This window comes from Homo sapiens, chromosome 1 (genome assembly GCF_000001405.40).
Source record: "Homo sapiens chromosome 1, GRCh38.p14 Primary Assembly".
Lineage (NCBI taxonomy): Eukaryota > Metazoa > Chordata > Mammalia > Primates > Hominidae > Homo > Homo sapiens.
This window is the reverse complement of record NC_000001.11, coordinates 87,128,819-87,141,664: the sequence shown is the minus strand read 5'-3', so window position 1 is coordinate 87,141,664 and position 12,846 is coordinate 87,128,819. Positions and strand designations below refer to the sequence as shown.

General features: G+C 47.4%; 1 long non-coding RNA gene across 5 annotated transcripts in view; it reads right to left on the bottom strand.

Moving 5' to 3' along the window:
* The window catches only part of LINC01140 (long intergenic non-protein coding RNA 1140), a 39,440-nt gene extending 27,540 nt beyond the window's left edge, over window positions 1–11,900 (bottom strand). The window contains exons 1-4 of one of the 5 annotated variants that reach the window (NR_026985.1): window positions 9,406–9,739; window positions 8,802–9,001; window positions 7,947–8,051; window positions 4,996–7,700 (exon numbers count right to left, since the gene is read on the bottom strand). This is a non-coding gene — a long non-coding RNA (long intergenic non-protein coding RNA 1140). Of the gene's footprint in view, window positions 1–4,995; window positions 7,701–7,946; window positions 8,052–8,801; window positions 9,002–9,405; window positions 9,740–11,670 lie in introns of those variants that run through there. The other 4 variants (NR_026988.1, NR_026986.1, NR_026987.1 and 1 more) reach the window with 4 other exon arrangements.
* Between the last annotated feature and the right edge of the window lie 946 nt (window positions 11,901–12,846).

Below are 12,846 nucleotides of genomic sequence, written 5' to 3'. Positions count from 1 at the left end.
GCCTCCTGTATGCGATGGGCAGCCACATGGGGCCCAGGATGATGACGCTGGTCCAGGGGAGTACTGATTGGTATGGGTATGGTCTTCAGATCCCTCAATGCACTTGGTTTGAATCTTCCTCTTGATCCACCACTCTCCCCAGGCCTACTGTAGAGCAGACCTTCTAAGACCAACTCCTCCACTTATTCTTCCACCCTCTCTTGGCCATCAGCTCAGAAGCCAAGGGCCATCCCCAGGCATTCCAGAGTGAATAGACTGGAGTGTGCTCTACACCTCTGGTATTACAGGTTTTCATGTTACATTCCTGCAGACTCTCTGACACATGACAGGCCACAGAGGTATCATCAGGTCCAGGAATTTGTGCTGCAAGAATAATGATTTTAGTTCTCCATGACTACTAACTCAGTGGTCTTGATTAGTCTTATTGTAATGTTGTTTCCTATCAAGTGAAACATTGTCTTTAAAAGGATTTCAGTCTCCACACTTCCTTCACACAATGAATGCTCATGCCCTAGCACCCGGAGCCATCTGGCAGCCATTCTAGTTCCCTGGGGCTGTGCACCAAGGAAGAAAACTGGTTCATCCTAACACCATTCAACACATGCATTACTGATGGTCTTCTATGGTGTAAGCCATTGGGAGGGGCTGAGTTGCCAGTGAATGCCTTTCTGACCTGTACAGTTGAGTCATCTGATCAGCATTCAGAACCATTGCTGTTGGCACGACAACAATGTAACACCTAGAAATTTATTCTTTATCAGGGGTATCCAGTCTCCTAGCCTGAGATTTATAAGATTCATTGAAAGAGATAATATATTTTTTAAATGAAAGAGCAAAACAACATAATTACATATCTACAGAATAAACTGACCTCTGCCAACCCAGGTGGAGATGAAGAGTACAGGGTTTGATTCCTCTAATTACACACAGCTTTTGGATAGGGGTGGATGAAAGGACACTTTATTATTCTCCCTCTAGTCATAGCGCTCTGTTGAAGCTAATCAAACTCTAATTCATTAGAAACTGGGACAAGAAACAGAAAATATAAATAAATAATTGCTTCCACTGGCCCTTAAAGCCCGAGCGAAACTTCTGATTAAATCTGGCACCTGGGCCCTGCTAGAATGTGCACTCCATGAGAGCGGAAGGCTTGCCTGGCTTGTTCAGCACCTAGACGAATGCCCAGCACCTTGTGCTCCCCTCATAAGTACTTGCTGAGTGAAGCAATGAATAAATAAATGAATGAACAAACAAACAAGGCAGACTCATCCAGAGCAGCAGAGGAGTCATGGTAGATTGAATGTGCCATCAAAATCAAATGCCTTGGGCTGATCCCAAGTCTTCTGACCAGAGGAGTTTGAGTGAATTACCTCACTTATTTCAGCTATTTCCCCCCAATAAGATGGAAGTAACAATAATATGTTTTGCAGATTAAGTGATAAAATTTATGTAAAAGTGATAAAATTATGTAAAAGTATTTCATAAAGTACCAGTTACCCATATGAGAACCCTGTAAGTGACCCTGTATCCCACGGCCTCACTCACCCCTGCTACGTCCTGTTTGCCTCTTAATCCTACAGCTTCTACCTCCTAATATCTCCCTCCATTGCTTCCTCTCCATTCTCACCACCAGTATCTTCACTGTGGTTCTCAGCACTCATTACCAGATAGCTCCAGCCCCTTCCTGGTGAGTTCCCTGCCTTAAGCCTAGCTCTGCTACAGTTGCCTTGCTGCCAATGGGCTTCATGAAGGGTGAGTGATTCCTGTAGTCACAAAGCACAGGGATCCATGCTCAGAAGGGCCCATGCTTGAGGGCACATGCTCTCTGGTTGCCATCTTGAAATTCTTAATGATTTACCATTTTGGAAGTGAAGTCCATGGCACATGAACATGGGCCGGGGGCTTAGGGTCTTGGCTCTCATGTGCAGCATCTCTTACCACCTCCCTGCCTCCCAGGACAGGTACTCGGCTACCCATTTCACTGCCCCTGGCACCTTGGGCCCTGCCCAACCTCCCCCACAACCTGTCCCAGTGACACTGTCCACTCCACTTCAGTGGAGGGTTGGGCGCAGGGTGGAGAGGGGCAGGGTTGGTGAGCGTGCTTCACAGTATCTTGCAAGGGGTGTGGCAGTGGCCATCCTCACCCCAGGCTGTCAGCGCTACCATGCACTTAGCAGGCAACTTGGTACAGGAAGCCTCAGGCTCAACCTTAACCAAGATGCCCAGTACATCTTGACAGGGAAGTTGCAATACCCTTGAGGGTTACCTGCTTGCCAAGGGTGACAGCACCAGGCCTCCGGGAAGGAGAGACACCTGGCTGCATCTTCCTACCCCTAGCTGAAGCATGACACATCAGTCCCATGGCTATGGAGAGGAGGAGCCAGCTGCCAGTGGACCACATGTGTCCCAAGTGTTAGGGAGGGCTCCAGCTCCCGTGAAAGTCTGTACTTGTCCCACAAGTGTCCTGCCATGAGGACCAGAGGGATGTGACATTAAAGAGGATACAAAAATGCCACGACAGATTGAGAGGCTGCAGAATGAAGGGAAACGCTCTGTATTCTAATGCCTTTAACAGCACCTTTTTTCCTGGTTTTTGAATAAATGGCCCCACATTTTCATTTTGCACAGGGACCCCAGGATCCAGTCCTAGCTGTAAACATGACCCTTCTAAATTCTGACCCTGACACACTGCTTACCTGTGACACTCCTTCAGTGCTTTCCCCTTTCCTCTAACTCAGAGCAGAAAGTTCGAGCCTCCTGGCTAGGCCCCCATGTCTGGCACTTGCTGATTTCCTCAGCCCCATCCCCTTCTGCTCACCCACACTCACCCTCCGCCTTGGCCATCTTGAAGCATTAGCAGCTTTTTGAACATGTCTTGCTGCTTTACGTCACTGCTCGTCACGTATTCTTCCCTCTGTTACCATTGTCTACCCCTACCTTTATCTGACTGTGTCTACTCAAGCCTCACTTCCTTCCATGGCCTTCCCTGACTACCTCAGCCCCCACCAGGCTCCCTCCCAGGAGAACTGTGTCATGGCCCCGATCACTGTGTCCTAGAATCACAGATGTTCCTACCTGGCTTCACGGTCATATGTATGCAACATGATCCTGATGACAGGGACCATATGACCTATTCCTAGCTCCAGCAGAGGGTCTGACACTTTCAGGGAGCACTGAATTCAACTCTAAGCTGGACATGCTAGTTCTCTGCAATTCCCTTCATTGCCTGCTTAGTGAGATGATCTGAATCAAACAAATCAGTCCCACTGGCCACTTTCTCCTGAGAGAGGAGGCTTTTCAATCACCAAGATGGCCAAGGCACCATTTTAAACCTACTTTATGGGCCTACCACTTTCTGATCATGTCACCTGCAATGATCCCATGGGTTTCCATTCTTGCTTATCACCAAACCTCAGCCACAGAAATTAGAGATCAAAAGCACTGGACTCATTTTTCTTATGAGAAAAAATCATTTTTCCCCTTCAACACATTCATAAAGCTTTAACAATGCAATCCTAGTACATGGACCTTGCCTCCCCCACTTTCCTATGGTGATCAATGCCCCATACAATGGGTTTCATGACCTTAGACCCGGAATCTAAAGATAGGCTATTCAATCATCTGGTCCAGATCCCTCATCTTACCACTGCAGACACTGAATGCAGGGGCCAGGGGTTGTCTCCATCCCAACCCAAGCCCATGCTCATCCCGCTGTTCCATGCAGTCTCTGTGAACTGGGAGTTATCGCCAGGCTCCTGATTCACCCTTCACTTCTCTGAGAGGATCCAAGGTCATCCTTCTTGTAGGTTTCCTTTCTTCAAGATCTCTAGACTATAATATTATCCCATCAATTGTCCAGTAACTCAAAACCTACCAGCCATACTAAACTAACCCATGATTATGGCATTCTCTGTTGCCACTTTTCACTGGTGCTTTATTTTCCTCCTGAATGTTCATCAGGGAGTTTGTTAAAAATTGGGAAGGGGCAGGAATGAGGTTATTGAGCTGTCAGTGATCAGACAATACAATTTACCTCACAGCAACAGTTTACTTCACTAAATTGTGGGGGAGCCAATGAGAAAGGAATGATCCTGGTTGATGCGCAGTATTGACACAGTAGCCACACAAACCACATTCAGTATCTCTGTAAGCCAGCTGCTGGCTTGTTTTGGGAGCAGTGTAATTGCTGCTGCCATCATTTCATGAACGGTCCCCTCTTCATCCCACCACCATTCATGGATTAGTTAGTAAACTAGCAGGACTGTTTCAGACAGAGAGCAATCTGCAAATCAGAAGCTTTCCAACTAGACTGGAATGGGTGGCTTTATTAGACACATTCCCAGTCACCTTGCTAACAGCCCTCAGGTTTCAGAAATGTCATTAAATATTCCATTCAAGAAACACAGGAAACCCTAAATGCGATCTACCTCATCCCCATCCCCACCGCCTCCCCCACACCATCTCCACCCTTCAGGCACATTCTAAACTTACAGAAATGTGGCCAGGAGAGAGTTAGACTATTTTGTGTGATGCAATACAGCCTGTTCAACTTTTGCATAGCAATTCAGCAAACACAGTTTTAAGCATTCAATTCTACTTCTACAGCTTCTTAAAATTCCCTGCAATATAATTATACTGATGGGAATGCAGAAAGATAATTGCTTTTAGAGGAAAGTTTCTCCTTTGTTCCATGTTCATCTGGCTTCCAGAAATGGAACAAGAGCCCTTGAACAGCAGAAATACGCATCCATGTGTCTCTAGTTATCATTTATTTACAAAGATAGACCTTGACAAATGTAATTTGTTCAATAAAATTAAAAGGATGCACGATAATTCACTTAGACAAAGAGACTTGAAAGGGGACGTCATCGGCAGCAGCGCCGTCCATCATTCCAAATGATCAGCTGACTTTGAAGAAGTGGCAGGTGTTCCCCTTTTGGAATGCAGCATTGAAATAGTATTTAGAAGGGGGAAAGAAAGAAAGAGAGCTAGGAATTGGAGCAATTTTTTATTCAGGCAATAATTATACAAATTAGATCTATGAAAGCCAGAGAATGACTGTGCCTTGAACCCTGTCTGTGTGCATAGAACAATGGGGAAATTAATAATTAAATCTATTACATATGCTCATAATTCAATACAAAAGATACCTCAGTAGTTCAAACACTCCTGTATTTTCATTTGAATAAGGCTTTCACACATGCTCATTATATATGTATTATATTTTAAATTTAAAAGCTTATTTTGTTGCCTTTATGTTTGAATTAATAAGGGCGCACTTTAATGCACTAATGGGGAATTGCATTAGCTGGCTTTGCAGACATAACTTTGAAAATCTCCCTGGTTTCCCAAGGGTGAAATCAATTTGCCCCATAACGTGTTGTCTCACAGACACATCTGGAATCTTGGAAGAATAGCTCCCCTCTACAAGCTTCTGATTTGGGCCTCCATATTTAAAAGAGGATCCCCTAGTAGATACCCTTGCTAAATTGAACAGACACATCGAGATCATCTTCTGGATTTTGCAATCTTTTAGCCAGCTGACATGCTTTTTATGCCTGGCCCATGTTATTTTCCCAGAGAGCAAAAATAATTTTTCTGCAAAAAAGTAAAAGTTTATTTTTAATCCAATAATTCATTTCCTCCCTTTTTAAAATTTTTCTTTCTCACTCCCTCTGTCCCTCTGGCTTTCTTTATATTCCTATTTTTAACTCTTCATACTACCTCTGGCTCCATGGAGAGTGAAGAAGACAAGGAAATTAGAAAAAAGAGAGAGAAAGAAAAAGTATATACTATGGTGGGCAATGATGGAAAAGGCCACAATTGTTGAGGAACCAATTAATAGCATCAGAAGTACTGGAGTTCAGGACAGGGGGATTGGTGGTTGAACTACAGCACTGAAATCCCAGAGAGCACAGTGAATTCACAAAGTGAGAGTCTCAGTTTTCTAAAAAAAAAACAGGGTGACTCCACTGGAGGGTCAAATGCTAAAGTAATAATCAATGGAAAATACCCATCCCTCTGCAACCCAGAAAAGAGACAAAGAAGTCAGTATCTGTGAGAAAGAAAGAGAGGAAGCCTAACCAACTGCTCACATCTCAGTGCAAAGCGGCTGCCAGCATACCCGGACAGCCCGGCACATGCGGAGGCACTTGCCGCTGCTGCCACTGCGCTATGACAAGGAGTTTTGTGCCTTCGGAGGAGCGCCAAATCCAATGACGCTAATTGCATTGCAGATTTCTAGCATCATTAGCAATTCTTAAAATTACATTTGCCCTGCTTAAGTTCTCTATTTCCAGCCTGGTATACGACGGGGGCAAGTCTCTAAAGGGGATATGGGTTACAGAGAAATTTGATTGGACATGCTGGCTTCAGGTGTGCAGGTGGAGGCTGGCCGGGGGGATTCACAGCCCAGGAAAAAATGCTTGTTTGTCTTATTTTAAATGCTGATTGCCGGGAGAATAAACAAAACCCGCAGCTAAATGGGCCTTAAAGGAACACTGGGAATTTTGGAAAGAAAAAAGCCTTACCGAATAACAGTTGGAACTAGCCCTGTGGGTCCTATGGTGACAAGCACCATCCAACCACCCCGAGCGATGGAGTAACTTGCATTTGAAATAGTTGGTGCAGAAATAACCACTCTCCTTTTGTTTGTTTGTATTTAAAACAAATGAATAAAATCCAGATGAATTGGTGTTTTTGCTTTGTTTGTTTGTTTCCTTAAAGAGAACATATTTGCTCATTAGGAAAGCTAGACAGCCAGCTCAAGAAACAAAAGCCCCAAGTCTGTGTCTCTCCTGAGCTTTGGCAAACACTTTGCCACAACATTTCCCGGCCCAAGTATCTCAACCCTGCTGGGAAGGGAAAGGCTATCCCAAGAGCAGAGCAGAGGTCAGGATCCGCCTCTCCGAGGCTGCTGGCTCCTGAAACTGGGGCAGGGCTCTGTGCAGTTGGGACTTCCATTGCAGAGTCATTGAGAGATCACCAACACCAGCCTCTCCCAGAGTGGAGGGGTGGCCTCTACTCTGAATCTAGCAACAGAAAGGGGACCAGCTCCTGGGTATTTTTTCCAACAATTTATCCCATGTAATGAAATTGCTAAGCCTATATATTTATAGACACATACATACACACATATATATATACACACTTACAAATATGTATTATATATACAGCTCTATGTATAAACACTCACATAGAGGGAGTGTATAGCTTTTAATTGGGCCGTCTTCTCAAAATAATTAAGCCAGTTTTAATGAAATACTGTTTAAGGCTGCTGGCAAGCAAAGAAGCCATCTTTAGCAGAGCATTAATAAACTGAGTCATTCGCACAAGGGAATGGCTAGCTGTATCAGTCACATTCATGGTGCTAATAAAAGAGCTCAGTTCTCTGTGGCAGGCCAAGGATTGGAGGGCCGGGAGGGAGCACAGAGCCCAGTCATCTCGGGCTCACTGTCACAGACAGTCCTTACGGCTGCAGTGGAGTTCACAGTCCGAGCTGGAAGAAGGGTCTGCTTGCCCTCAAAGGATCCCAGCAGGAATCTCTGTCCATAGAAGAGTGAGGTGACCAATCCCAGGGGCTGGTGAGGTCTCTAGAGCTCCTTACCATCTGTGGGTGACACTGGACCAGGATTGGGAACAGGGTGCAAGCGTGGCCAGAGTTTCTCCTTTTGGTGTCCCAGTTCCTCGTCTACAGTGACCTGCCAACCCCGTGATATTAATGAGATAAACATGTTGGGAGGGTTTTTCAGAGGTGTTAATTGGGGGTAATGTTTAACTCATAAAATGAGGATAGTCATTCTCTAAACCAGGAATTTAGATAGGACTTCCCTTATCAATACCTCCTGCTGCTTTTTAGCTGCTGCTTTTTAGCAGCAGGAGGTATTGATAGGTAAAGGAGTATCTGGTTTGGTTTTTAGTCAAAGGGATGGTTTAGCCATACTCACAATGAGAATCTTTACAAACTGGACTGACTTTCACCAAAAGCGATGAGATGGACTTGCTGCCACATATAGGTCCATGCCGATGAGATGGTGTAGCAGTATCTGGTGCTGGAAAGGAAGGGGCCTGTGTAAGAGTCCCATCGTACCAACAAGGAAACTGACCTGCCCCAGTGTTACACCGTTTATCCCCAGCGGCACAGCCACATCCTGAATCCTTCTTCAAGAGTCCTGGGAGAAGAAAATAAGCCCCGTTACCCTCTCCTCCTTTCTGTCTTGGAGAGAAGAGGCCTATAAAACACTAATAGTGCAGGGGAAGTTTTTTCTAATTCCAAACAAGGTGGGAAAAGCAGGAACCTTTTGATTTCTGTAAGATCAATTTGGTGAAGGGCTAGCACGGAAGTTTAGACTGGACCATGATAACAGTTACCCTTTACTGAGCCTTTTCACTTGCCAGGAGGACACTGTAGATGCATAATAGTTCATAATCCTCACCACAACTCTGTGAGCTAGGAAGTTGTATTCCCACTTGACAGAACAGGAAACTGAGGCTCAAAAAGTTAACCAACTTACCCATAGTGCTAGAGCTCACAAACAGCAAAGGCAGGATTCAGACACCTCAAGGCAGTGAACAGGCGGCCCCTGGTTCTGGTCCTCCCTCTCCCGTTCTCCTCTACCCAGGCTTGATGCTGGGTCCATCCTCCCTTTGGCCTCACCATTAAAGCTAATGCTGACATTTCCATCAGCTTCCCAGTCTCACACTCCCAGGAGTAGCAACATGTATCAAGCCCTGGCGCAGACATAGTCCTTACAAAAGGCAACTTCTGGGGAAGAAAAAGAAACTCCTTGTTCTCCGCTCACTTTCAGAACTGATGCCCTGGCAGACATGAAGCGTGCTTTCGGCACGAAGGAGGAAGAAGAGGAACGCGCAGGGCTTGATTCCCGGTTCTCCAGAATTCGGAAGTGGAAGAAGCCTGGGAGTGACAAGGGACCCCAGATCCGGCCTAAACCAGCGCCCTGGGGTCAAGCCCCTGCGTAGTCCTGGACAAAGGAGCCGCGACCTGGAGGGGGGACCGGGAGAAGGGAACGGAGACCCCAGTGGAGCCAAGGAGCCTGGATGGGCAAAGGAAATGGGCGACGGGTAAATGGAGATGCAGCCGGGGATGGGAGAGGACGACCATCGACTGGGAAGCGGAAACCCCCTTGCGGTTTGAGGGCCCTGAGGAGGGGAAGCGCCCCGCACCCGCCCCCCAGCCCGCCTCCAGGGGTGAAGGACGGCAGGGCCTCCCGAGGCCGCCGCGCCGGGACAGCCTGACCGAGCAGCACCGAGACGAGGCCGGCGCCCACCGCCCCTGCCCGGCCCCCGTCCGCTCCTCGGGCTAGCACTAGGCCCCACCGTGCAAGCGCACTGTGCATCGCGCCTGCAGCCTTTCGAAAATAGAAAAATAGGGAGTATATGTAGTACCCCACACCCTTGTAATGATGCCGCTCCAAGCAAATGAGTCCTTAATAACAACAGGGTGCTGGGGGCAGCGACCGATGGGGAGCAAACAGCCTGGCCCTGTGGTGTAGAACTCGCGGCAATGGAGACTCCCGACACTCCATGTGGCACAAGTCCCAGGTCCCGGCGGGCCAGCATCCGGCCTTCCCCGGCGAGGAGCCGGGCTTCTGACGGGAGGGCAGGGTGGCGAGAGGGCGCCAGCAGGACGCCTGACCTTGCGTGAAAAACCAGAGAATTCCACAGCACCGTGGCGAGTGCTCCCCGGCTGCGACCGCGCCTCGGGCCGCGAGGATGTTCCTATGGCGCCACCTAGTGTCGGAGGTGCAGACAACGCTCTGGCGAGGGCTGCAAGGACGGCCTGCGACCAGCCCTGGAACCTCAGACTTAGGCTGGGACCTTGGGATGGGTCATCCCAGGGGCTCCAGCTGTGGACGAGTGATGCCCTTCCAACAGGCAAAAAGCCCCCCAGACGTCTCTCTCTTCCTGCTGCAACCAAAGCTAAAAAGAAAATTTGCCAGAATGAATGGAATAACTGACGGTCCCCTTCAATGAGACGTCCATGAGGTGATGTCTGGTTTTTCCTAAATACAATGGCCAGTCGATTATTAGTTCATCCAGAAAAAATATAGATGCTGTCATCGTATAAACATGAGTCTCCACATAGAACTGAGCCTCAGACCCGCTGGAGGTGCTCTGTCTGGGAAACACTGAACTAGAATTTTGGGTGGAACGAAGTAGAAGCTTTACTTTTTATTTAACAGTAGCCTGAAGACCTCCTGCAGAATAATGGAAAGGATAAAGACCTGGGAGCCAGGATACTAAGGTTCTGGCATTAGCTCTGCCCCCCAGTTGTCTGTTTGACCTCGACCAGAGGGAAACAGTTTTACTACCTCTCACAATACTGTGCAGTCTGGATTGGTATCTCCATGTAATCAATAAGGAAATAGGGGCTCCAGGAGTTTACCCAAGGCCGGGCAGCAGATCAGTGGCCAGACCAAGCTTCAGCTGCACGTCTGCCCGACTCTGAAGAGCACGTTGCCTTCACAAGCCATCAAATCCCTTCGTGCTTTGGCCTCTTCATCTACCGCTTGAAGGGTCTGTACCAAGTGGTCATGGTTCCTTCCAGATACAGCAAACCGTGATTCTAAGGTTTCACTGATCCCTTAAAATCCAGTTTTAGTGCTCACAAACCCCATGGTGATAACAAAAGAGCCTTTAAAAAGGATTTATCCACCTATAAAAACCATTAGATTTTATTTGGGGCTGTGGGCAAAGAACACCAAAGCAAACGTGTTGGAACATCAAACCTCCTTTAAAATTTAGGGCAGCAGGGACAGAGGAGAAAATCTGCACAGGGCAAGGAGGGACAACTTACAGATTCCATGGCTGGAACCAGACTGCGGGACACTATTTATCTGCCATTGGCTTCCTGGGGGATAATTGCCTCCTGACAATTGTTTAGACTTGATAAATACATGAAATGGGACCGCCAACAGTTTATCTGGCTACCAGTTCAGATCCGGACAGAACCAGATGAAGAAGTCAGGCATATTTGCAATAACCTCAAAGATAAAACCTTCCTATCAGAGGCAGCTTATCTCCTCCTCTGGGTCATGCTGCCTAGTAACTGCCACCTCCAAAAGAAGGAAGGGGAGAGCACTTCTAGCAGGGGGTTCACAGTGGGCCTTGCTTGCCTTGAACTCCCCTTCCTGCCCACACGACAGGCCACCTGTCTGGCAGCAAGGGAGTGGTACTGTGCCCTGATCTGGAAGGCTTAGGAAAGATGTTGGCAAGGAAAGTGGAAGTAATGAGCAACTAGATCCCAAAGCCAAGGTCACCTAACTCTGAGATGAATGCGTTCCTTGTGGGCTCTTCCTCTGTTTCACATGGACAAGCTAAAGGAACTTCAGGCCTCCCCAGCAAAGATAACACCATGAATCGCAGCTCACAGGAGCTGGGACCCTGCTGGGCTACATACTCACCCCATGACCAAAGGCAAGTGGGACCTCTGGGCCTCAGTTTCCTCACCTCTCAGGGGTTTGAGCTAAATAATCCCTAAGATCCTACTGAGCCATTTTATGGACTGGAATCAAACCAGCCAGACCTCTTTATGGTTTAAAAGAGGCCAGAGGTTTCATCGAAGAACCATCTCCCTCCCTTACATTTTTCCTCAGCCCGCTTGCTTTTCTCTTCTCCCTCCCCGACACCTCTCATTTGCCGGCCACAAACCTCCATCCTCCAACTCCTTTCCAACGTCAGTAGCTGGCTCCACCAGGCTGGCTAAGGAGCGAGGAGACCATCACCTCAGAAAGCAGCCCCGCTGGGAGGTCCACGGAGCAGTTCGCCGAGCTGTGCACAGGCCCTTTATTTTCCATCTGTCAAGAAAGGAAGCTGCCTGTTGCTTATTTCCTCCTCCCACTCTTCTCCCTTCCCGCCAGCAGACTCTTCCACTTTCAAAATATTCTGATGGGGGATCACAGGAGTTTTCCTCAAACAAGATCACTTGGGGTCAACTACTGAGCAACTCCCAGCCTCAGCCCCACCCATTCCCTCACCCTCCAGCTTGAGCAATAGCTCCAGTTAGTAAAGCAGTTGGATCAACAGGACAACAACCAAAAGTGACCTTCTACGTCCTAAAGCCCTTGCCTGACACCACCTCTTTTTTTTTTTAAATTATTCAGGGGCCTTTTGGGGACCCCCAGTTGAGCTGTATTCTGCAGAAAGAACTTCCAAACGAAAGGAATAAGGCATTGTTTTACCAAGAGCCTTTTCTCCCTCAAGAAACACAATGTAAACTAGGAAACTTGCACTTTCTTTTACCTTTGGGTAGATGAGCAGAAGGGAAGAGTTACTACCCAGGGTGAGGTCATTCCTCCATGGTGGTAGAATATCTGGTTCTTTCAGTTTCCCCATGGTGCTGGCCTCACAATAGGTGTTCATGAGGTGCAGGCTAATTGGGTGAGTGGATGCAGTGCTCTGATGGATTTATTCAGTGTACAAGATTGCAAAGCCATGTGCCAGCAAAGGCTTAACCACCCCACCCTACCCTTCAGACCAGCCCCATAGCTTTCCATGTCCCTGTCTGCCCAGCCTCAGGCCAAAGCAAAGGCAGGGATCTGAGCTGTACCCACTGTGAATGCCCATCTCCTGACCCCTGTGCTAGTGTCTTGTCCCTGCATGCCTCGGCTGTCTTCTCTCTGGACTATGATTCATGGCAGATATTAAAAAGGAAACAGCATCCTTCAATTCTTTCTACCATTTCTCTTATCTTTAAAGGGTTCTTATTAAGCAGTATCTTCAAACTTATTTATGTGATGTCATGCTAGGAAGCAGCGTTGTCAATGTGCCACTTTCCATGAGCACTGAATTCAGTAAAAATAAAAGCCAAATAAATGATATATTGTC